The following is a 26,058-nucleotide window of genomic DNA, read 5'->3' on the forward strand; positions in this document are numbered from 1 at the left end:
CTGGCATAAACTCTAAAAATGTCAATGTCATAGAATACCCACAAAAGGCGAAGGAACTGTTCTAGATAGAAGTCTAAAGAGACATGATAACCAAAGATAACATAAGATCCCTGAGAAGATCCTGCATTAAAAAAAGGAAGGTTGTAAAGGGCAATTCTGGGAACAAATTTAGAGATGGGCTATATATTAGATAATACTTTTGTTTCCATGTTAAATTCCTTCAGAGTGACAATAGTACTGTAGTCATGTAGAATGATGCTCTTGTTCTCCCAGGATATATTTGCTGAAGGGCTTAAAGGTGAAATCTCACAATCCTTGCAAGTTATCTCAAATGGTTCAGGAAAAAAAAAGTATAAAAGCTTGAGAGAACTCTCATACAATGCTGCTAAGAATGTAGAATGGTAATTACTTTGGAAAACAGTTTAGCAGATTCTTAAAAAGCTACATATAACCTTACCATACAAATTAACAATTCCCTTCCTATGTATCTACCCAAGATAAATTTAAAAATATGTCCACATAGTCTCACAAGTGAAATGTTCACAGCAGCTTTATTCATAATATAGCCAGTAAGTAAAAATTCAAATGTACATCAACTTATATATTGATATAATGATCTGTGATCCTAATGTCTCAAAATAGTCCCTCACATCAAGTAACATTCAGCCCACAGTGATGTTCACCCCTCAAATCGATAAACACATGCATAACAGACTGAGATGATAACACCTACTTTTCTTGTTACGTGGTGCCACCCAAGACCTAAAATAAACTGATAAAAAGTAAAAAGTGGCTAAAATAATAATAATAGGCCCATCTACAAAAGATCACAAAAACAGTCAAGACTCAGCCTTATCCAAGACGCCTTCAGAGGCTACCTGTGAGAACTCTGAAACCTTCTTTTCTTTTTTTGGAGACAGTCTCACTCTGTCGCTGAGGCTGGAGTGCAGTAGCAGGATTATAGCTCTCTGCAGCCTAAAACTCCTGGGCTCAAGCAATCCTCTCATCTCAGCCTCCCAAGTAGCTGGGACTACTATTTAAAAAAATTAATGCCTGGCTAATTTTTTTTTTTTTTTTTTTGGAGATGAAGTTTCGCTCTTGTCGCCAGGCTGGAGTGCAATGGCGTAATCTTGGATCACTGCAACCTCCGCCTCCCAAGTTCAAGTGATTTTTCTGCCTCAGCCTCCTGAGTAGCTGGGATTACAGGTGTGCGCCACCACACCTGGCTAATTTTTTGTATTTTTAGTAGAGGCAGGGTTTCACCATGTTGGCCAGGCTGGTCTCAAACTCCTGACCTCAGGTGATCCACCCATCTTGGCCTCCCAAAGTGCTGGGATTACAAGCATGAGTCTTTTGTTTTTATGAGACAGTCTCATTCTGTTGCCCAGGCTGGAAGGCAGTGGCATGATTATGGCTCACTGTAGCCTCAACTTCCTGGGCTCGAGTGATCCTCCTGCCTCAGCCTGCGGAGTAGCTGGGACTAAAGGTATGTACCATCACACCCAGCTATTTTTTTTTTTTTTTTTTTGGTAGAGACAGGGTCTCACTTTATTGCCCAGGCTGGTCTCAAACTCCTGGACTCAAGTGATCCTCCCATTTTGGCCTCCCAAAGCGCTGGGATTAAAGGCGTGAGCCACCATGCCCAGCCTGAGGCCTTCTTTTGACAGGGCAGCTGTTGTGGAGGCTCTGCCCAAGAGAAACAGAGACAAACACCCCTCCCACCAATTGCCAGCCAAAAGACTTCCAGAACCACACAACTTGTACATTGGTCTCCAGAACCATCGATGTGGTTGTTACTTTTATTACTGCCTGTGTATTAAATATTAATTACATGAATAATTGTGTGTGAAGGCCTCACAATTAACCATAAATTCAAACATACATAAAATTGACTACTGAGTCATCTGACTTCAGAGTTAACACACCTAGATGATACAAAACTAATTAACATAACATAAATAAGTAAACAAAATGTGGTATATCCATACCACAACTCAGCAATAAAAATGAATGATATACTGATATATGCTAAAGCACAAATGAACATCATAAACACTGTGCTAAGTGAAACAAGCCAGATACATGACTACGTATTATATGATTTCCACTTAAAAAAATGTGGAGAAAAGGCAACTCTTTTTTTTTTTTGAGACAGAGTTTCGCTCTTGTTGCCCAGGCTGGAATGTAATGGCGCAATCTCGGCTCACTGAAACCTCTGCCTCCCAGGTTCAAGCGATTCTCCTGCCTCAGCCTCCCGAGTAGCTGGGATTACAGGCACCCACTACCACACCCAGCTAATTTTTTGTATTTTTAGTAGAGACAGGGTTTCACCATGTTGGCCAGGCTGGTCTCGAACTTCTGACCTCAGGCAACCCACCCACCTTGGCCTCCCAAAGTGCTGGGATTACAGGCATAAGCAACCCCGCCTGGCCAAAAAGGCAAATCTTTAGAGACAAAAAAGATTAGTGGTTGCCCAAGGCTGGGGGGTGGGTATGGATTAACTGTAAATAGGCAGAAAAAAATCTTACTGGAGTAACGAAAGTGTTCTAAAACTGGATTGGGGTGATGGTTGCAGATGGATAAACTTACTAAAAATCACTGAATTATATTAAAATAGGTTAACTTATGGTATGCAAATTATACTTCAGTAAAGGTACTTAAAAGATAAAGCAAATGTGGCAAAATGGTGATAACTAGTGAATCTATGGGAAGAGTATACACAATCACCATGTTAGTATCTCAACTTTTCTTTGGTTTGAAAATCTTCAAAATTAAAAGATGAGGATAGGGCCAGGTGTGGTGGCTCACAAATGTAATCCCAGCACTTTGGAAGGCTGAGGCGGGCAGCTCACTTGAGGTCAGGAGTTCGAGACCAGCTTGGCCAACATGGTGAAACCCTGTCTCTACTAAAAAAAAAATACAAAACTTAGCCAGGTGTGGTGGCATGTGCCTGTAGTCCCAGCTACTCAGGAGGCTGAGGTGGTAGAATCACTTGAACCCGGGAGGCAGAGGTAGCAGTGAGCCACTGCACTCTATCCTGGGTGACAGAGTGAGACCCTGTCTCAAAAAAAAAAAAAAAAAAGAAAAGAAAAAAAAGGAGAAATGATATACACACCCCCTAAAACTAGTGCTTCTAATTGCAGATTACCTAAAAGAGGTAAAAGACACAGCACAACTCTTGAGATATTTAGGATTAAGTAACAGATGAGCACATTGATCCCTAAAGCCAACTTTCATCCAAGGATTTGATTAACTAGCAATTTTTTCTCTACTCAAATAGTATTTTTCCGAATTATACAAGTAATGCATATTCAATATAGAAAAATTTATGAATTAAAGTGAAAGCACAGAGGCTGGGGTCCGGGCGTGTAATCCCACCACTTTGGGAGGCTGAGGCGGGCAGATCACTTAAGCCCAGGAGTTCAAGACCAGCCTGGGCAACAAAAAATACACAAAGTAGCCAGGTGTGGTGGCATGCGCCTATAGTCCCAGCTACTCAGGAGGCTGACGCGGGGGTATCAACTGAGTCTGGGAGGTTGAGGTTGCAGTGAGCCATGATCGCGCCGCTGCGCTCAAGCCTGGGTGAGGATCAAGACCCTGTCCCAAAAAAAGCAAAAATAAAGTAAAAGCACAAAGAAACTGAAAAATAACTAATCCCATCAACCAGAGATAACCATCTACAGTTTGTTCTTTAGCCTTTCATTCTATTTGGAGAAAGAAAGTTATCTGTATAATATATGTGGCAATAACAGTTAGAACTTAATGGATCATTCAACTGGCATACCAAAATGTTACATCATATCCAAAAAACCATATAAATCCTAAGAATGAAAGGCAGAATAAAAACTTTTAGATGCAAATCCAGTACTTCCTTTTTAGTTTCCAGTTAAAGACTGAAGGCTGAATGCATGCATTAGCCTCAGCTCCCTTCCTAAGCCCTCCTAAAATACAGGGATGGGGGAAAAAGGCGTGAATTCACTAGGACAAAATGAACAAGTGAGGCAACTTAATTAAGGGAACTGGGAAGTAGACAAGTGGAAAATGTCTTAGCCAACCTGAAAAAGTTGAATCTTCCTTAGCCAGCAGTGGGAAAAGTAGAGCAGCAACCTGGTTAACAATGAGTAGCCCAAAACAGTTCAGGAATAAACACATGTACAAAAACAGGAGAGGTTACACATCTGCTTAACCCACTAGTTAGGCCTCATATCCCCTAATGTAGTCACAACACTGCATAGCCCAGGGACTGCCCCACCCTGGAGGAAATGGGTGGGGCTGTTAAGCCCACAGTTACACCCTATAGTCATAGTCATGCCCATAGCTTCCACCCCCTTTTTTTTTTTGAGATGGAGTCTCGCTCTGTCGTTCAGGCTGGAGTGCAGTGGCACAATCTCAGCTCATTTCAAACTTTGCCTCCCGGGTTCTCCTGCCTCAGCCTCCCGAGAACCTGGAACTACAGGTGTGCACCACCACACATGGCTAATTTTTGTAATTTTAGTAGAGATGGGGGTTTCGCCACATTGCCCAGGCTGGTCTCGAATTCCTGACCTCAAGTGATCCACTCACCTCTCAAAGTGCTGAGATTACAGGTGTGAGCCACTGTGCCCAACCCAAATCCTCTTTTTGTGTTCCACTCTTAAATAGGAGTACGTAGTGGGCCGGGTGTGGTGGCTCACCTCTAATCCCAGCATTTTGGGAGGCTGAGGTGGGAGGATCTCATGAGCCCAGGAGTTCAAGACCAGTCTGGGCAACAAAGAGAAAACCTGTCTCTTTAAAAAAAATTTTTTTTAAATAGGTGTATATAGTCAAGAACCACAATATATTTATGGTAAAGCATCAAATATGAAATAAACAAAACTAAAGTAATAAAAAAATGCAACTTGAAGGAAACAAAGCTGAGATCACCCAGAAAACAAAGCAAACATTTTGTCAAAAGGTAAAAAGAAAACATAATTACAGAACCAGACCAGAAAGTCCAATATCTGAAAAACAGGAGCTCCAATAAAGGAGAACAGAGAAAAGGAAGGAGAGGAAATTAAAGGATCAATTCAAGAAATTTTCCGATAACAAGAGAAGGGAGTTTCCAGACTGAAAGGGCTCACCAAAGCTGAACAAAATATAAGAAAATGAATGCTGAAATGCATAACCGTCAAATTTCAGGGCACTAGGGACACAGCAAAGTTACCAAAAGTTTTCAGAGAGGGAAGAAAACAGGATTCATTCAAAGAACAAAGAATCAGAATATTTCAACATTACCGCTGAAAACACAAGACAAAGGATCAGTGCCTTCAAAATTCTGAGAAAAATATTCTCAACCTTAAAAAACTGCTCCCCAGCAAAATCTGGGATATCAGCTAAGTATCAAGGTAAGAAAAATTTCAGAATGCAAAAGTTTCAAATTTTATCTCTCTTGCACTTTCAGGAAGCTTAAAAAAAATTGGGTCCAGGAAACAGAGGTTCCAACAAAGAAAGGCTAAAAGAAACCCCAGGGGTGAGATCTGTGCAGACCTAGAGCTCACCCAGTCCAGATCAGGGTAGGTCCAACGTTCTAGAAAAGAATTCTTCAAAAAGATAAAACTGACAGAACACCTACAGTGTCATAACCTACTACTGAGAATAAATTTTACATATATAGTTAGTAAGGAGTTTGAGGATAGTAAAAAAAAAGACTGAACAAACCAAAAATCAAGACAATTATCACCCTCAGGGCAGCAAAATATTGTGCTGAGAAAGAAAAGTAATCCAAGCACACAAATGGCTCAAGTGTTGATAAACATTTAAACATTATAATGAGATAAACAGTAAGATTGGTGACACATGCCTGTAATGCCAGCACTTTGGGAGGCCAAGGCAAAAGGATGGCTTGAGCTCAGGAGTTCAAAACTAGCCTGGGCAACACAGTGCAACACTGAGTGTGGTGGCACATGCCTGTAGTTCCAGGTACTAGAGTGGCTGAGGAGGATCACCTGTGCGCAGGAGGTCAAGGCTGCAGTGAGCTGTGATCATGCCGCTGGGTGACAGAGAGATCCTGTCTCAAAAACAGTAACAACCACATACACACACACACACACACACACACACGCTGGGTGACAGAGAGATCCTGTCTCAAAAACAGTAACAACCACATACACACACACACACACACACACACACACACACGAAAACTGATTTAGCCAAATTACAAATAACTAAAATGGGAGAACAGGAAATGGGGTGAGTGAAACAAACAATTACTATGGGTCAGGCAGAGGTCCAAATCTTTTTTTTTGAAACGGAGTCTTGCTCTGTCACCCACGCTGGAGGGCAGTGGTGCGATCTTGACTCACTGCAACCTCCGCCTCCGGGTTCAAGCAATTCTCCTGCCTCAGCCTCCGGAGTAGCTGGGATTACAGGCACACACCACCACACCCAGCTAATTTTTGTATTTTTAGTAAAGACGGGGTTTCACCATGTTGGCCAGGCTGATCTCAAACTCCTGACCTCAGGTGATTTGCCTGCCTCAGCCTCCCAAAGTGCTGGGATTATAGGCGTGAGCCACCGCGCCCGGCCCCCAAATCTTTATACTATCGATTTACCTAATTCCCATTTAACAACTGGTGCCCTTATGTTATATATGAGAAAGCTGAGGCACAGAGACAGTAACTTGCCATATGTCACACAGCAGAGGCTTTGAACTTTGCTCTTCACCACTACTTTGGCTATCACAAAGCAAAATCCTTATCTCCCTGTGTAAAGTCAACAGATAATGATTAAAGGTTAAAAAAAATTGAGAGAGAGGTAACAAAACCCAAAAATCAGTTGAAAGAATTGAAACAGATTGCCTCTGGGGAGTCAAGGAAGGAAGAAAAAGGTCTAGAACCCCTTGTTGCTTTTAACAAGCTGACAGAACTACTTTACTCTTTAAACCATACATTTGTAATTTGGATAAAATGAAAATTAAATAAGGAAATGTACTTCCCCTTTAAAAACACCTTTAAGTACACATTAAAACTCTGAGTTTCAGCTGGGTACAGTAGCTCACACCTGTAATCCCAGCACTTTGGGAGGCCAGGCAGGAGGATCAGTTGAGCCCAGGAGTTCACAACCAGCATGAGCAAGTTGGTGAGATCCCCCCATCTCCACACACATACACACAAAAAAATTTTTTTAATTAAATTCTGACTGAGGCCCTGAATAACTGGACATGCGCACCAATGCAACTCAAAAAAAAGTGCAAAAACAGGCCGAGCGCAGTGGCTCACGCAAGTAATCCCAGCACTTTCGGAGGCCCAGGTGGGCTAATCACCTGAGGTTAAGAGTTCTAGACCAGCCCGGCTAACATGGTGAAACTCTGTCTCTACTAAAAATGCAAAAATCAGCCAGGCGTGGTAGTGGGCACCTGTCATTACAGCTACTCAGGAAGCTAAGGCAGGAGAATCACATGAACCTGGGAGGCAGAGGTTGCAGTGAGCTGAGATGGCGCCACTGCACTCCAGCCTGGGCGACAAAGCAAGACTCCATCTCAAAAAAATAAAAAGCAAAAACAACAACAAAAAAGGTGCAAAACAAGCCCAAATATATATAAGCATTTGATATATGATAAAGATGGCATTTCAAATCATCAGGGAAATGTACATTTTTCAATAAATGGGAAAACTGACTAATCATCTGGAAAACATGTTAAGGTACTAACATTGAAAAAAATTCAGCTATATAAAATATTTATATGTAAATTGTGCAGTCATAAAGAAAACAGAAGTGAATTTTATATAACAGGGAAAGAATTATTTCTCCCCCTCCCACTGCCCCTCCCCGCCACACCGCTGCTGCACTTTAAAGCAGAAATCAAAAAGGAAAAGACTGCTGGAGTCAATGTCATAAAAATTCACCCAAAAAGTGCCACATAGTAAAAAACATTATAAACCAAGCGAGACAAACTGGAGGAACCATAAGAATCTAATAAGCTATTTTCCTTAATATACAAACAGCTCACATAAATCAATGAAGGAAAGAATGACAATCTGAGAGAGGTAGAGAGGAAAATACACAAGTTATAGAAAAATACAAAAGGCCAATAAAGATATGGAAAGATATCCAACCTCATTCATAATTACAGAAAAACAAATTAAAATGAATACATTTTAACCCACCAGGCCAGCAACAAGGAAGGTAAAGATACAGATAACTCTTCAGTTGGTTAAGAGTGTAGCAAAACTCTTGTCCATCAACAAAGTAGTGGTTAAATAAAATATGACCAACCACAATGGACATCCAATGCATCCAGTCAAAAAACAAAAACAGAAAACAAAAAACATGCTATCCATAACATACTGTGAAATTTAAAAATCAAGTTTGAGAACAGTATATATAGAGCTGGGCACAGGTAGCTCATCCCAGTAACTCCAGCATGTTGAGAGGCTGAGGTGGAGGATCACCCAGGAGTTCCAGACCAGCCTGGGTAACATAGCAAGACATTGTCTCTACAAAAAAAAAAATGCTGGGCATGGCAGCACATTCCTGTAGTCCCAGCTACTAGGGAGGCTGAGGCAGGAGGATAATTTGAGTCTGGGAGGTTGAGGCTGCAGTGAGCCATGATTCTAGGACTGTACTCTAGCCTGGGCAACAGAGCAAGACCCTTTCTCTCTCTCCATTTATATGTACAGATAGATATAGCTAGCTAGCTAGCTAGATAGATAGATATAGCTAGCTAGCTAGCTAGCTAGATAGGTAGATATGCAAAGATAGAGAGAGAGAGATTTTTTTAAAGACAAGGTCTCACTTTGTCACCTAGGCTCCAGAGCAGTGGCACGACCTCAGCTCACTGCAGCCTCGACCTCCTGGGCTCAAGTGATCCAACTGCCTCAGCCTCCCAAGTAGCTGGGACTACAGGTGCACACCACCTCGCCCAGCTAAACATACTTTCTTTGAAAATAAAAATTTCAGTACATATATAAAATATAGCCATCACACACACAAAAGAAATAAGACTTCACCAGCAATCAAGGAAACACAAAATAAAACAAGTAACACCTTTTATCTATCAGATAAATCTACCTGGTAAAGATAAAAACATAATTATCCAAAATCAGGCTTTCTACTGCCTGTTAAAATTAATTGGTACATACTTCTTGGGGGCAATCTGGCAATGTTTATCAAGAACCTTCAAAAGGGCATACCTTGACCTGCCAATTCCGCTTCTCGGAATTTGCCCCAAATAAATACATGGGTTTTATGTCACAATTAAAAAAAAAAAAAAAAAAGAATTGAAGGCTGGGCACAGTGGCTCACATCTATAATCCTAGCACTTTGGGAGGCCAAGGCAGGCAGATTACCTGAGGTCAGGAGTTCAAGACCAGCCTAGCCAAGATGGCAAAACCTCGTCTTTACTAAAAATACAAAAATTAGCCAGGCATGGTGGTGTATGCCTGTAATCCCAGGTACCAGGGAGGATGAGGCAGGAGAGTCACTTGAACCCAGGAGGCGGAGGCTGCAATGAGCTGAGATCACGCCACTGCACTCCAGCCTAGGTGACAGAGGGAGACTCTGTCTCAAAGGAAAAAAAGAGAGAGAGAGATGAAAATAATTAAGCAAGTGAACAGAAATATTTATAATAGTGAAAAAAACAATAAATGACTGATGAAGTTACAGAATACTCAAATAATGGGACGTTAGGAGTCATGAAAAACAGATATGGAAAGATAACTATAATATATTTAAGTTAAAAAGTAGGCTATAAAGCAGTATGTATCCATGATTATACTCCAATTTGAAATATATAATATGCATATGAGTAGCTATATATATGAACACACACTGACAAGTTATTAGCTTTTAGTATTACAAGCAGCTTTACTGTTTTTTGTTGTTGTTGTTCCCCAAAGTATAATGCCATTTATTAAAAACAAAACAGGGCCGGTCACCACGGCTCATGCCTGTAATCCCAGAACTTTGGGATGCTGAGGTGGGAAGATTGCTTGCACCCAGGAGTTCGAGGCCAGTCTGGACAATATGACAAAACCCCCTATGTACAAAAAATACAAAAATTAGCCAGGTGTGGTGGCACGTGCCTTTAATCCCAGCTACTTGACGGGCTGAGGTCAAAGGATCAGTTAAGCCCAGGAGGTCGAGGCTGCAGTGAGCTGTGATCACACCACTGCACTCTAGCGTGAGTGACAGTGAGATCCTGCCTCCAAAAAAAAAAAAAAAAAAAAAAGTGTTGCGATTACAGGTGTGCACCACTGTGTCTGGCCTGAGAATTGACATATTTAATATTACCTAATTTCACATTTTTAATTTTATTTTTTGAGATGGAGTCTTGCTTTGTCACCCAGGCTGAAGTGCAGTGGTGCAATCTCAGCTCACTGCAACCTCCGCCTGAGTTCAAGAGATTCTCCTGCTTCAGCCTCCCGAGTAGCTGGGATTACAGGTGCCCACCACCAGGCCCGGCTAATTTTTGTATTTTTTAGTAGAGACGGGGTTTCACCATGTTGGTCAGGCTGGTCTTGAACTCCTGACCTTGGGTGATCCACCCGCCTTGGCCTCCCAAAGTGCTGGGATATCAGGCGTGAGCCACCACACCCGGCTCTAATTTATTTTTATTTTTCAACTTTTATTTTAGGTTCAGGGAGTACAAACATGTGCAGGTTTGTTACATGGGTAAATTGCATGTCACTGGGGTTTGGTATACAAATGATTTCATCACTCAGAAAATGAGCATAGTACTATCCGATAGGGCTTCATTCTGAATTTGTTGGGTTTTTATATCCAACATTATTACTTTTACAATTGAGTATAAAAAAAAGAAATTTCAGCCAGGCGAGGTGGCTCACACCTGTAATCCCAGCACTTTGGGAGGCCGAGGCAGGTGGATCACGAGGTCAGGAGATAGAGACCATCCTGGCTAACACGGTGAAACCCCATCTCTACTAAAAATACAAAAATACAAAAAATTAGCCGGGTGTGGTGGCAGGCGCCTGTAGTCCCAGCTACTTGGGAGGCTGAGGCAGGAGAATGGCGAGAACCCGGGAGGCAGAGCTTGCAGTGAGCCGAGATCACGCCACTGTACTCCAGACTCCGTCTCAAAAAAAAAAAAAAAAAAAAAAAGAAAGAAAGAAAGAAATTTCATTTCCCAAGGTAAAGCTCTTCATGGAAAAAAGACAAAAGTGCAAGTTCAGTAAATTCATAAGATAAATACAACAGACCTTTAGCACATGAAAGTACTCATGAGAAATGACAAAACAGGGTGGGAGGAGGGTGAGGATCGAAAAACTACTTGTCAGGTACTATGCTTATTACCTTGGCGACAATCTGTATACCAAACCCCATGACCCGCAATTTATCCATATAACAAACCTGCACGTGTACCTCCGAATCTAAAATAAAAATTGGGAGGAAAAAAAAAAAAAAGAAATGGCAAAATACAAATTAAAACAGGATCACATTTTTTACCTATGAAATTGGAAAAAAAATATATTATGCGCTACATTGATGAGATGGTCAAAGAAATACTCACTTGTTACGGTAATGGCAGAAATACAAATGCGTCCAATCTTTATGAGGTGTAAGACAATTTGGCAATTAAGTATTAAGAGCATTAAAAGCCATGTTTATATTTAGCCCAGCAATCCTCAGCCCAGCAATCTAATTCTAGGAATAAATTGTAAGGAAACAGGGATGCAAGCAAAGATTTAACTACAAGAAATGTTCAATACTGAATTTATATTGAAAAAAAATTTTAAACAATCTAGATATCCAACAAAAAGATTATTAATCATATCTATGTAATAGAATACTACAAAATCTTTAAAGTGTTGAATTATATTTATTAAGACTGGGAAAATGGTTATATCATTCAGTGAAGAACAGATTACACAACAAGGTGTGCAATAGGTTAAACACTATCTCCCCAAAATTCACGTCCATCCAGAACCTCAGAATGCAACCTTATTTGGAAATAGGGTCTTTGCAGATGTAATCAGTTAAGATGAGGTCATACAAGATTAGGGTGGGCCTTAAATCCAACTGACTGGTATCCTTATAAGGGGAAGGAGATTTGGAGACACACAAGGAAAGCCATGTGACTAATAAGGCAGACACTAGAGTGATACAGCTACAAGCCAAGGAAGGCCAAAGATTGGAAGGAGCCACCAAAAGCCAAAAAGAGGCAAGAAGGGATGCTGCCCTAGAAACTTCAGAGGGATCATGGACCTGCTAACACCCTCAAATTGGAACTTCTAGTTTCTCAAACTATAAGGAAGTTAATTTCTGTAGGTTTAAGCCACCCAGTTTGTGTTGTTTCTTAAGCAACACTAGGAAACTTATACAATGTGTGAAACACAGTAATCAGAAGCACAGGCTACTTATGTTTGAATTCCATTTCCACCCATGTGACTTCAGGTTATTTAACCTCTCTAAGCCTCTTTTCCTTTTGTAAAAAATGAGGATGACAATATTCATTTCCTAGAATTATTGTATTAAATTATACATTAAATATAAATCACTTAAAACAGTATCTAGAATATAGTAAATGCCCCACTTTTATAAAGCAAGCACAAGTACAACACACACACAAAATATGTTATTAGAATATACATATAACAAAAGGTTAACATTTTTATCTCTGGGTCCCATTATTATCGCTTATTTTTTTGTTTATTTGTTTTGTTTACCAGTTCTTTCTAATTTATCTGCAATGAACATAAATCATGTCTTTTTTTGTTTTTTTTGGAGACAGAGTCTCGCTCTGCTGCCCAGACTGGAGTGCAGTGGCGCCATCTCGGCTCACTGAAACCTCTGCCTCCTAGGCTCAAGTGATTCTCCTGCCTCAGCCTCCTGAGTAGCTGGGATTACAGGCACCTGGCTAAATTTTGTATTTTTAGTAGAAACAAGGTTTCACCACGTTGGCCAGGCTGGTCTCGAACTCCTGACCTCAAGTGATCTGCCTGCCTCGGCCTCCCAAAGGTGTGAGCCATCACGACTGGCCTATTTTTTATTTTTATATTTTTTTCTATTTTTTTTAACTTTTTGCCAACATTCGGATCCTAACAATTTTTTTTTCTTCAGAGCAGGAGTGAAAGTTTATTTTAAAAGGCTTTAGAACAGGAAAGAAAGAAAAAGTACACCTGGAAGAGACCCAAGCAGGCAACTTGAAGGACAAGTGCTGTTTATGTCATAAAAAAATACAATCATTTTAAAAATTTAAAAATAAGGTAGGGCTTCCCTGTCACAGTTGCATGCAAACCCCAACCCCCAGCCAGTGGTTTCCACTCTTCTCAAGGCCTGTTATCAAAGGGTTTAAAAAAAAAAGTAAAAAATAAAATTTACTTTAGAAAATAAAATGCTGACCAGAAAGCACTTTAGAAGCACATCATGTATCATTCAATCAATCATTAGAAGGTGGTTGCTTCATAAGAGGCTGACCTCTTATGAATCACTGACCTCAAGCACAATAATTCAAGTGTGAACCCTCAGAAACACTTGACAGACCTCAGGCTCAAAACACACTAAAAAAAGCACAACTATTCATTTTAAAAGGTGGGTTTTTTAAACCTCAATACATAGTGGGGCTGACCCTCTATATTTGGGAATAAACTGCCCCCCCTCCCAAGACAAACATTAACTTTGGCAAATGAGAACACCATTTACTAAATCAATTACCCTTCCAACAAGTGAAAAACGTATTCATCTTCTCTGCACAAGGTGATTTAGAAAGAGTTTAAACCCTTTCACCGGGTGTGGCGGCTCATGCCTGAAATCCCAGCACTTTGGGAGGCCAAGGCAGGAGAATTGGTTGAGCTCAGGAGTTTGAGACCAGTCTGCCAACATAGCAAGACCCCGTCTCATTTTAAAAATAAAAAAATAAAAATAAAGAGTTAAACCTTTTCAGTTTTAGTCCTGTTGCATTTTGGGTTTCTTGTTCTCCAACAATATTGTAAATAATATTGTCAGACGAGCTTACTACTAGATAGTTTACTTATTAACAAAGCAAAACTAAGTTTTAATAAAATTATACATAATTACTGGGTAAGAATTTGTTGCTTAATCAGAAGGGATTTTACTATATTTCAAATGACCAAAGTCCACCACTACATTTTTTTTTTTTTTTTTTTTTTTTTGAGACAGAGCCTTGCTCTGTCTTCCAGGCTGGAGTGCAGTGCTGCGACCTCAGCTCACTGCAACTCTGCCTCCCAGGTTCAAGCGATTCACCTGACTCAGCCTCCCAAGTAGTTGGGATTACAGGTGCATGCCACCACACCCCACTAATTCTTATATTTTTATTTTTTTACTTTTTTTTTTTTTTCTAGAGACGGGGTTTCACCATGTTGGCCAGGCTGGTCTCGAACTCCTGACTTCATGATCCGCCCGCCTGGCCTCCCAAAGTGCTGGGATTACAGGCATGAGCCACCACGCCCAGCCTTGTCTGTTTTAAGACAGGGTCTTGCTCTGTCACCCAAGCTGGAGTGCAATGGGGCAATCTCAGCTCCCTGCAACCTCTGTTTTTTTTTTTTTTTTTTTTTTTTTTGAGACAGTCTCGCTCTGTCGCCCAGGCTGGAGTGCGGTGGCGCGATCTCGGCCCACTGCAAGCTCCGCCTCCCGGGTTCACGCCATTCTCCTCCCTCAGCCTCCTGAGTAGCTGGGACTACAGGCGCCCGCCACCAGGCCCAGCTAATTTTTTTGTATTTTTAGTAGAGACACGGTTTCACCATATTAGCCAGGACGGTCTCGATCTCCTGACCTCGTGATCTGCCCACCTCGGCCTCCCAAAGTACAGGGATTACAGGGGTGAGCCACCGCGCCCAGCCAATCTCTGTCTTCTGAAGTGATCCTCTCATCTCAGCCTCCCAAGTAGCTGGGACTACAAGTGCACGCCACCATGCCCAGCTAATTTTTGTATTTTTTGTAGAGTTGGGGTCTCCCTATGTGGCCTAGGCTAGCCTCAAACTCCTAGACTCACACAATTTGCCTGCCTCGGCCTCCCAAAGTGCTGGGATTACAGACATGAGCCACCACACCCAGCACATTGTTAATTCTTTAAAATATCGATCCTTTTGTAGTCCATAAGCGTGATGATTGAGTGTTCACACTTATGTGAGACACGTGCCCTCCCTCAAACCTTGTTATGACATTGGCACATTATTTCTCTGATGTGAAAAAAAATAAAGTTAAAAAAAAAATCCAGTCAGAGCAACACAGGGAGACCCCATCTCTAAAAAAATTTTAAAAATTAGCCAGGCATGGTGACACACATCTGTAGTCCCAGCTATTTGGGAGGTTGAGATGGGAGGATTGCTGTTACCCCAACAAAAAAAAAACAAAAACAGGACGTTGCCTATAAAAACCTACCTTTTTGACCCTGTCTCAAAAAAATATATATATACACACACACACATATAAATACACACGTGTGTTTATGTGTATTTGTATATATGTGTATGTGTATATATATGTATATATGAACAGCCTATCCAAGTACCTTGACAACTAAATTCAGTTCCCACTCAAACAATGGAGGTATAAGGGCCTTGTTATCTACTACCCTGAAGAGCAAAGACAATCAAAAGCAATAACCACAGCTGTTTAAAGGTTTATATATATAATTTTACATACATATTCATGCATAGAAAATTCTGTTATATATATGCACATATATACATATATATATACATATATATACATATATATATACATATATATATACATATATATACATATATATACACATATATATATACATATATATATACATATATATATATATACATATATATATATACATATTGCACAGAATATTCTGTGCAATGGGGCAATCTCAGCTCCGAATATAATGCACAGAAAGGTCTGAAGAAATTGTTAGCAGTGGCTATATCTGGAAACAGGAGGGGTTTATACTTCTCATCTTTAGTACAGGGGTTACAAATGAGTAGCCCAAGGGCTACATTCTGCCTGCAGATGTGCTTTATATTTGGTCTTCAGTGTTTTAAAAATACTTGAATTAATTGCCAACATTTAAAAATCAGGATATTTCAGCTGGTCACAGTGGCTCATGCCTGTAATCCCAGCACTTTGGGAGGACAAGGTGGGCAGACAGCTTGAGCTCTGGAGTTTGAGACCAGCCTGGGCAACATGGCAAGACCCTGTCTCTACTAAAAATACAAAAACATAACCGGCCATGGTGGCAGGTGCCTGTGGTCCCAGCTACTTGGGAGGCTGAGGTGGGAGGATCACTTAGAGCCCAGGGAGGCATATGGGGGAGGGGAGGTTGCAGTGAGCAGTGATCCCGCCAATGCACTCCAGCCTGGGTGACAGAGCTCTGTACCCCACCCCCCAAAAAAACAAAAAACCAGGACATTTCCTATAAAAACCTATATTTTTTACTTCTCTTGAAAAAAAATAGAAAAATCTAACACTGGACCCCCATTCTAGCAGGGCAATATTTAAGGCAAATATCAGACATGCTCTTTATAAAGGCAAGGCTTTCCAGTTCACACACCTTCAATTGTTACCCATCTGGCACCTAAACATATATTAGTTTGCAACCCCTGTTTAAACTATTCTAAACTATTTGAACTTATTATGCGCTTATATGACTTTTTAAAGTTTTTCCTCAATGGAAACACAATGGCAATGATCTAAGAGAACTTTAGAGAGCTTACAAAATATTTTTGTCCATTCACATCTAAATTACTGAGTAACATAGGCATAAGAAAAAAATTAAGCCTTTTCTCCCATCTACCCTTACACATTACTTCAACAAATGTTTACTGAGCACCTATGTACAAAGTAGTGCGTAAGAGGCTTAGGGAGAAACAAAGGCTGTTAGGGGGCACTGTCCTCTTAAAAGTGTGTTTCTATACATAATAAACACTATAAAAAAGGAAAGAGTGGAGTTCAAAGAAGAGTACACTGCTAAGAACAGGATCAGTATGTCAATTTCAGAAAAACGATAGGACTTCTTCAGGTAGAAAGGAAAGAATAGCATTCTAAGTAGGAGAAACAAGTTTAAAATTGGGAGAGCAAAAGTTTACGTGGGAATGAGCAGCAGCCTAGTTTGAACACAGCAGAGAAAAGCAGAATATTCACTACAAAGATACGCCAGGAAAGGTAGAAGTAGGTAAACTGGGACCAGTCTTTGCAGGGTCCTAAATGAATGTCAAGCTAAAGCTTGCTGTTCTGTATCTGGGAAGCAACAAGGCCCTGTTAGAGGTTTCTAAGAAGGGTCTAGATTGAAGCTGTGATTTAGAAAGACTGATCTAGCAGTGGTATGTCCACAAAATAGACTGGAAGGAAGAAAGCCACTTGTAGAAAACCGATTTGGACTATGCCTATGTTACTCTGTTAAACTAGTAACATAATCTGCAAACTAAGGCGGTGGCAGTGGGAATGGAAAAAAAGAGACATTTGGGAAGTACACTGTCAAATCCAGGTGGAAATTAACTGGATTTAGCAAATGAACTGGGGTGTCCAGAAAAGAGAGGGCCTTAAAGATAACTCAGTTCAAGTCTAATTTCTGGGAGACCAAAAACTGGCTGGAGTAAGGAAAAGGATAAATTGACCTTTTATTATTTTTATTTTTTAATTTTTTTGATTTTTTATTTTTTTAAAGACTGAGTCTTGCTATGGAGTGCAGTGGCTATTCACAGATGTAATCCCACTACTGATCAGCACGGGACTTTTGACCTGCTCCATTTCTGACCTGGGCTGGCTCACCCCCTCCTTAGGCAACCTGGTGGTCTCCTGCTCCCGGGAGATCACCATACTGATATCGAACTTAGTACAGACACCCAAATGGCATAGCACACTACAGCCCAGAACTCCTGGGCTCAAGCAATCCTCCCGCCTCAGCATCCCAAGTAGCTAAGACTACAAGCGTGCACCACCGCGCCTGGCAAATTGACCTTTTAAACACATCTAGTTTTGAATGCCAACAGAACATTCATAAGTTTCCTGCCCCAACCAGAAAATCCTGCACACTTTTTTTCTGCCCAACTTTTAGTGATGGCTGAAGAGAATAAAATATATATTTACTAAAAGTAAAGGATATATTTAATACAGAGCTAATGAGAGGCCAGTCCCAGAGCAGAAACATGATCAAAATTAAGCTCCACAAAATCAAGCTGGTTCCCACCTCATACCATACACAAAAATTAATTATACAAAATGGATATCCATATACAAAATGGACCAACAACCTAAATATAAAGAACTAAAACTATAAAACTCTTAGCAGAAAACAAAGGGATAAATCTTCATGACCTTGGATTTGGTAATGAATTCTAAGATATGACATCAAAAACACAAGCAAAGAAAAAAAGAATTGATATGGACCTCAGCACATTAGAAACATTTGTGAATCATAGGACATTGTCAAGAAAGTGAAAAGACAGCCTACAGAATGGGAGAAAACAGTGCAATTTATATACCCAATAAGGATTTCATATCCAGAATATATAAAGACTTCTTACAGGCCAGGTGTGGTGGCTCACACCTGTAATCCCAGCACTTTGGGAGGCTGAGGTGGGCGGATCATGAGGTCAGGAGATCGAGACCATCCTGGCTAACACAGTGAAACCCTGTCTCTACAAAAATACAAAAAAATTAGCCGGGCGTGGTGGCGGGCGCCTGTAGTCCCAGCTACTCAGGAGGCTGAGGCAGGAGAATGGCGTGAACCCAGGAGGCGGAGCTTGCAGTGAGCCGAGATCGCGCCACCGCACTCCAGCCCGGGCAACAGAGTGAGAGTCCGTCTCAAAGAAAAAAAAAAAAGACTTCTTACAACTGAACAACAAAAAGACAACCCAATTTAAAAATGGGCAAAGCCTTTTTGCGCTGACAGTGCTCCAGCAAACATAATGAACATTCCTAAAAGCCACCAGACTTTCTATAAGAAGTATGGCAAACACCAACCCCACAAAGTGATACAGTATAAGAAAGGCAGGCCGGGCGCGGTGGCTCACGCCTGTAATCCCAGCACTTTGGGAGGCAGAGGCGGGCGGATCACGAGGTCAGGAGATCGAGACCACGGTGAAACCCCGTCTCTACTAAAAATACAAAAAATTAGCTGGGCGCAGTGGCGGGCGCCTGTAGTCCCAGCTACTCGGGAGGCTGAGGCAGGAGAATGGCGTGAACCCGGAAGGCGGAGCTTGCAGAAAGCAGCATTATGACAGGAAGCAGGGTAGCTATGGTGGGCAGACTAAGCCAATTTCCCAGAAAAAGGTTAAAACTATAAAGAAGATTGTGCTGAGGCTAGAGTGCATGGAACCCAACTGCAGATGTAAAAGAATGCTAGCTTCTAAGACATGCAAGCATTTTGAACTGGGAGGCGATAAGACGAGAAAGGACCAAGTGATACAGTTCTAAATGTCATCTTTTATTTTATTATGAAGACAATAAAATCCTGAAGTTAACTTCACTCCATCTGGTTGCTCTTGGTCTTTTGGGAGGGAATAAACTAGAGCCATCAACAAAATTCCCCTGGGGGTGGGGGAAAGAAAATGCACAAAGGACTTAAATGGTTATTTCTCCAAAGAAGATATACAAATGGCCAAAAAGCACATAAAAATATGTTCGTATAATTAGTAATTAGAAAAATAAGAATCAAAATCATAATAAGGTACCAATCCATACCCACTAAGATGGCTATAGTTTTAAAAAGAAAAATATTGGCTGGGCGTGGTGGCTCACGCCTGTAATCCAAGCACTCTGGGAGGCCAAAGCAGGCAGGTCACCTAAGGTCAGGAATTTGAGACAGCCTGGCCAATAAGGTGAAACCCCGTCTCTACTAAAAATACAAAAAAAATTAGCAGGGCGTGGTGGCACACAGCTGTAGTCCCAGCTACTCGGGAGGCTGGGGCAGGAGAATCACTTGAATCCAGGAGATGGAGGTTGCAGTGAGCCGAGATTGCACCACTGCACTCCAGCCTGGGCAACAGAGCAAGACTCCATCTCCAAAAAAAAAAATATATATATATATATATTTATAAAATATATATTCCATTAAACTGGAAGTTTAAAAGAAGAAAGAAAAATAACAAGTGTTGGCAAAGATGTGGAGAAATTGCGACCAACTCATACACCGCGGTTGGGAATGTAAAATGATTCAGCCATCGTGGAAAAGAGTTTGGTGATTCCTCAAAAACAGATTGACCATATGACCCAAAATTTCCATTCCTAGATACATACCCAAAGGAACTAAAAAAAGGTACTCAAACAAATACAGGTACACGCACATATTCAAAACTTTACTACTCAGAATAGTCAAAAGATAGAAACACCCCAAATGTCTACCAACGAATGAACAGATGAAACAAATTGTGATATGTATATACAATGGAATACTATCAAGCCATAAAAAAAGAGTGAGGCCAGGGGTGGGGGTTGGGGGGTGGCTCATGCCTGTAATCCCAAAACTTTGGGAGGCCAGTGCAGGTGGATCCCTTAAGCCCAGGAGTTCTAAACAAGCCTGGGCAACATGGCAAAATCCTGTCTGTACAAAAAGCACAAAAACTGGCTGGGCATGGTGGCTCATGCCTATATCCCAGCTACTTGGGAGACTGAGGTGGGAGGATGGATTGAGCCCAGGAGTCAAAGCTAAGGTTAGCCATGATAGCGCCAGTGCACTCCAGCCTGGGCAACAGAATGAGACCCTGTCTCAAAAAAAAAAAAAAAAAATGAAGTACTGATACATACTACAACATGGATGAACCCTGAAAACATAATGCTAAATGAAAGATGCCATGGCAAGAAACTTACAGGCTTCATTAAAAGAAACCAAAAAAAAAGGCTGGGCACAGTGGCTCATGCCTGTAATCCCAGCACTTTGGGAGGCCAAGGTAGATGGATCACTTGAGGTCAGAAGTTCAAGACCAGCCTGGCCAACATGGCAAAACCCCATCTCTACAAAAAATACAAAAATTAGCCAGGCGTGATCTTGCACGCCTGTAATCCCAGATACTTGGGACGCTAAGGTAGGAGAATCGCTTGAATCCAGGAGGCAGAGGTTGTAGTGAGCCGAGATCACGCCACTGTACTCCAGCCTGGGCGACAACAACAACAACAAGATGCAGACACAAAAGGACAAATTCTATTTACATGACGTATCCACGGGAGGCTGAGGCAGGAGAATCACTTGAACCTGGGAGGCGGAGGTTACAGCGAGCCAAGATCACGTCATTTCACTCCAGCCTGGGCAACAAAAGTGAAACTCCATCTCAAAAAAGAAAAGAAAATATCCAGAATAGGTACATACATAGAGACAGAACTCAGACTGCTGGTTGCCAATGGCTGAGGAGAGAATAGTCCTTTACACCGGCTTAATGGGTGTAAAGTTTCATTTTGGGGTTATGAAAAAGTTTAGAAACAAGAGAGTGGTGGTGGTTGCACAACACTGTGAATGCGCTAAACACCACTGAACTGTTCACTTTAAAACAGTTAATTTTGCCAGGCACAGTACTGCACACACGTAATCCCAAGTACTCAGGTGGCTGAGGTGGGAGAATCACTTGAGCCTCAGAGTTCAAGGCCGTAGTGTGCTACATGATCATGCCTGTAAACAGCCATTGCACTCCAGCCTGGGCAACATAGTGAGACGTCTCTAAAAAAATTAAAATTAAATAAATGAAAATAAAATAGTTAATTTTACATGGTATCAATTTCACAATCTTACTTTAAAAATCAACAATATTCCAAATCAAAAATAAAAACCTTTTAAAAAATGTAATAGAGTACATAATACTCTATCACTGTTATGTAGCCCTTCCTTACCCTCTTCCTAAAACTACTATTTGACACACATTTATTTAAGGAAACCAATATTAATAGAAGTATTATCTCTATCATAAAGGAACTTTTTCCTAGATTTATACATATAAACCACAGCATAGATGAGAAACTCATTTAGCACGGGTGACTGAGAAATGGATTAACAGGCAAAGAAGGTAATACGTGATCAGGTAAGAGGTACAACTGATTTTCATATCTAGATTCTAATTTCATTTCATTGATTTGTGGTTATATCTTTATCTAGTAGGGTGTTTCTGACAATGTTGAGAAAATTAATAGGACATCATATTTTACAGAAATATTTTTCCCAAGTTACTTTTCTAGAAAACATCTGTTCCATCCATGGTGGATGCAAGTAGAATTCCAAAACATACACACTGCTCCCTGAAGATACCTGCAGGCAACCTAGGATGTTGCAATACCACAACTGCACAGCAGTAGCCTAATAGGAGGTAGAGAAACATTGTCTATATGCTATTAAAAGATATTTTATCTACTGCTATACTGAGAAATAAGGCCAATATTAACTCCTAAGTTAATGTATAAAAATCTAGAAGAGTTATTTGACTCTTGTTACTAATGCTAAACAACTTACAATGAACACCTAATGTAACACTGAACTGTACACCTTAAACTGATTAAAATGCGGGCCGGGCATGGTGGCTCACACCTGTAATCCCAGCACTTTGGGAGGCTGAGGCAGGCAGATCACCTGAGGTCAGGAGTTTGAGACCAGCCTGGCCAACATGGCAAAACCTTGATTCTACTAATAATACAAAGATTAGCCAGGCGTGGTGGCCCACACGTGTAATCCCAGCTACTTGGGAGGCTGAGGCACAAGAATCGCATGAACCCAGGAGGCAGAGGTTGCAGTGAGCCAAGATTGCGCCACTGCACTCCAGCCTGGGCGACAGAGTGAAACTATGTCTCAAAAAAAAATTAAAAATAAATAAATAAATAAATAAATTGATTAAAAGGGTAAATTTTGTTATATATATTTTACCACAAATTCTTAAAAAGTGAGGTAAGCTCTCCTCTGAATCTTGGTTTCCCATCAAAAAAAAGCCAATTAGACTACATTAAAAAATATGAACCCATTAAATTGAACATGTTTAAATTTTACATAGTTGAAAACTTTTAGTAATTTCAATTAATAGAAGCGTTCTGGCCTCTTAACAGAGTGTTTATTAGATATCCTCCACCTCCAAGGAGGACAAACACAAACGAAAAAGGCTTAAATTGTAGCAAGGAAGGTTTAAACATAATTCTAACCAGAAAGTAATTAAACATTATAATAAGGTATCATGCAAATCTCTGCCCGTAGGGATACAAGAATAGGACAGATGGCTATCTTAGAAGGGCTGGATGCAAATCTACAGGAAAAGTTGGAATAAACTAGGCTGGAGTGCAGTGGCGTGATCTCGGCTCACTGCAAGCTCCGCCTCCTGGGTTCATGCCATTCTCCTGCCTCAGCCTCCCCAGTAGCTGGGACTACAGGTGCCCGTCACCAGGCCTGGCTAATTTTTTTTTTGTATTTTTAGTAGAGACGGGGTTCCACCATGTTAGCCAGGATGGTCTCAATCTCCTGACCTCATGATCCGTCCGCCTCGGCCTCCCAAAGTGCTGGGATTACAGGTGTGAGCCACTGCACCTGGCCTAAACTAAAGAATCTCTTAAGTCAGTTTCCGGTTTTACAATTCCAAGTTCTGTATTCACAGCCCAATAGTATCTCTGAAAGACATTCCATCTATAGAACACTGCAGATATTAATCTACAAGTCATTTCAATTTGGTTTTAGATATTGGGTTTACTTTCACCATATCATTTATTCACTTTACATACTCACTTAGGAACTGAAAATTGACTACTTCTGTTAACAGACAGTTCCATCAATCTCCAGCAGCATGGCTGCCAGCTCAGGTATAAATGCTACAAACATGCTCAACTGAAAACAATATTTGGTTCTAAATTTAACAAATAGAGGCCAGGTGCGGTGGCCCACGCCTATAATCCCAGCACTTTGGGAGGCCAAGGTGGGTGGATCATTTGAGGTCAGGGGTTCGAGACCAGCCTGGACAAACATGGTAAAACCCCGTCTCTACCAAAAATACAAAAATTAGCCAGGTGTGGTCGTGGGCGCCCACAGTCCCAGCTACTCGGGAGGCTGAGGCAGGAGAATCTCTTGAACCCGGGAGGCAGAGGTTGCAGTGAGCCAAGATCGCACCACTGCACTCCGGCCTGGGCGACAGAGCAAAACTCTGTCTCAAAAAAAAAAAGAAGTATCTACACAATTTTGTCAACCTAAGACCAAACAAAATATGTGTTAACAGGGTAAAAGACTCACAAGGCCAAAACATTCCATTTAGTCAGTTTTTCAAAAATGACAAATTCTTACTTTTGATCACAAAAGCATAACCTTTCCAACTCAGGTTTTACTTTTATTTTATTTTTGAGACAGGGTCTCACTCTGCTACCTGGGCAGGAGTGCAGCAGCACAATCACAGCTCACTGCACCCTTCACCTCCCAGGCTCAATTGATCCTTCCACCTCAGCCTCCCACTTAGCTGGGACTACAGGTGAGCACCACCAAGCCCAGCTAATTTTTTTATTTTTGTAGAGATGGAGGTCTCGCTATCTTGCCTATGCTGGTCTCAAACTCCTGGGTTCAAGCAATCCTACTGCCCTGGCCTCCCAAAGTGCTGGGATTATAGGCGTGAGCTACTGCACTCAGACAGGTTTAATTTTAGAAGACTCAGGGTCTTCGCTTTTCAATAATGATTTTTAATTTACCACATTATTTTCTAATAGACAACTGAATGGTATTTATTACAACCCGAAGCAGGCACTTATGAAGTCATAGGAAGATTAATCATCTTCAATTCAACAGGTTAATCATCAGAGCAAGTTGAGAGATTTTTTTGTCAACCTGTATTAGGACTATGTCAACAGTTGCCCAGTTAGAAATTAAATGATGCGTAGAACAACACGTCTAGACTTTAGATTTTTACTTGGGCAACACACACAAATACTGTGATTAAGTATGCATGCATGCACATTATGTGTATATGTATTTACCTAGATTTCATTAATTATGATGGATGTTTGTTTGAAAAAAAAATATTGGCTGGACACAGTGGCTCATGTCTATAATCCCAACACTTTGGGAGACTAAGGCAAGATTGAGCCCAAGAGTTCAAGACTAGGTCTGGCAACATAGTGCGACCCATCTCTAAAAAAATGTTTAAATTGATCCTTTTGTAATTCAGATGCGTGATGATTGGGTGTTTACATGCATGTATGAGACGTGCCAACCTTGAATCTTGTTATATAACGTGCACATTACCCGTCTGACATGAGAAAAAGGAAAAAAATTAAATAAAAAGTAAAAAATAAAAAAATTAGCCAGTCATGGTGGCACGCATCTGTAGTCCCAGCTACTCAAGAGGCTGAGGTGGGAGGATTGCTTGAATCTGGGAGGTTGAGGCTGTAGTGAGCCACAGCTGTGCCACTGCACTTCAGCCTGGGAGACAGAATGAGACCCTGTCTCAAAAAAATAAAATAAAAATCTGTCAAGATGAATTAGGTAAACATAGGAATCAAAAATACAGTATTAGATTATGACGCTATCTTTCATAAGAAAAAAAAATGAAAAGCCTTCCTGCTTTTAGTTCACAAATGATTTTTCATTTTATAATCAAAGAAAATAAAGAACATGCCTTATGTAGCCAAAAAATAAGGTAATGTGACTTAAAGTTGAATTATCACTTAACTGCATGGATTTCTAAGAAGCTACTGACTTCCAACTTCTCAATTTCTCTAAAGCCAGAACACATTTTTTTTTCCAGACAGAGTCTTATTCTGTCGCCCAGGCTGGAGTGCAGTGGCATGATCACGGCTCACTGCAGCCTCGACCTCCTGGGCTCAGGTGATCTTCCTACCTCAGGCTCCCAGGTAGCTGGGGACTACACGCATGCACCACCACACCTGGCCCAGAACACATTTTCTTAACGGCTCACTCCTTTGCTCATATATGTAACTTGTTTTTATACAGAAATAACATGTCATCAACATATATGCTACTCCATGGCTTTGAGCATAAGTTTTTTATATAAAAACTCAAATAGAAGTTTTATTTTATTTTATTTTTTTTTTTTGAGACGGAGTCTCGGTCTGTTGCCCAGGCTGGAGTGCAGTGGCGCAATCTCGGCTCACTGCAAGCTCCGCCTCCTGGGTTCACGCCATTCTCCTGTCTCAGCCTCCCTCAAATACAAGTTTTATAATCCAACTATATTTTTAATTTTTTTTTTT

General features: G+C 40.9%; 1 protein-coding gene, 1 long non-coding RNA gene, 2 other non-coding genes and 1 pseudogene across 9 annotated transcripts in view, besides 3 other annotated features; 2 read left to right on the top strand and 3 right to left on the bottom strand.

Moving 5' to 3' along the window:
• ILRUN (inflammation and lipid regulator with UBA-like and NBR1-like domains) overlaps positions 1-26,058 on the bottom strand; it is a 109,480-nt gene that overhangs the window by 80,493 nt on the left and 2,929 nt on the right. The gene's annotated exons all lie outside the window — the stretch shown is intronic.
• Positions 4,315-4,414: an enhancer, noted in NCBI's record as "active region_24384". NCBI's record gives its function as "activates an Ori minimal core promoter by ATAC-STARR-seq in GM12878 lymphoblastoid cells {active_cell/tissue: GM12878}" and the evidence as "EXISTENCE:reporter gene assay evidence [ECO:0000049][PMID:35858748]".
• Positions 4,455-4,634: an enhancer, noted in NCBI's record as "active region_24385". NCBI's record gives its function as "activates an Ori minimal core promoter by ATAC-STARR-seq in GM12878 lymphoblastoid cells {active_cell/tissue: GM12878}" and the evidence as "EXISTENCE:reporter gene assay evidence [ECO:0000049][PMID:35858748]".
• Positions 10,738-10,953: a silencer, noted in NCBI's record as "fragment chr6:34646295-34646510 (GRCh37/hg19 assembly coordinates)". NCBI's record gives its function as "represses an EF-1alpha promoter that drives an FKBP-Casp9 reporter gene in an ReSE screen in phorbol 12-myristate 13-acetate-treated (for megakaryocytic differentiation) K562 erythroleukemia cells {active_cell/tissue: K562(+PMA)}" and the evidence as "EXISTENCE:reporter gene assay evidence [ECO:0000049][PMID:32094911]".
• Positions 15,018-15,122, top strand: LOC124901535 (small nucleolar RNA U13). Its single transcript, XR_007059966.1, has one exon. It is a non-coding gene; the product is annotated as a small nucleolar RNA U13 (small nucleolar RNA).
• RN7SL200P (RNA, 7SL, cytoplasmic 200, pseudogene) lies at positions 17,575-17,862 on the bottom strand (annotated as a pseudogene).
• Positions 19,319-21,094, bottom strand: LOC105375028 (uncharacterized). The gene is made up of 2 exons (XR_926726.1): positions 21,061-21,094; positions 19,319-19,443 (listed from the first exon to the last, which is right to left on the bottom strand). It is a non-coding gene; the product is annotated as an uncharacterized LOC105375028 (long non-coding RNA).
• LOC124901540 (small nucleolar RNA U13) lies at positions 25,000-25,103 on the top strand. The gene has a single exon (XR_007059971.1). It is a non-coding gene; the product is annotated as a small nucleolar RNA U13 (small nucleolar RNA).

The sequence above is a fragment of the Homo sapiens genome, chromosome 6 (assembly GCF_000001405.40).
Source record: "Homo sapiens chromosome 6, GRCh38.p14 Primary Assembly".
Classification (NCBI taxonomy): domain Eukaryota; kingdom Metazoa; phylum Chordata; class Mammalia; order Primates; family Hominidae; genus Homo; species Homo sapiens.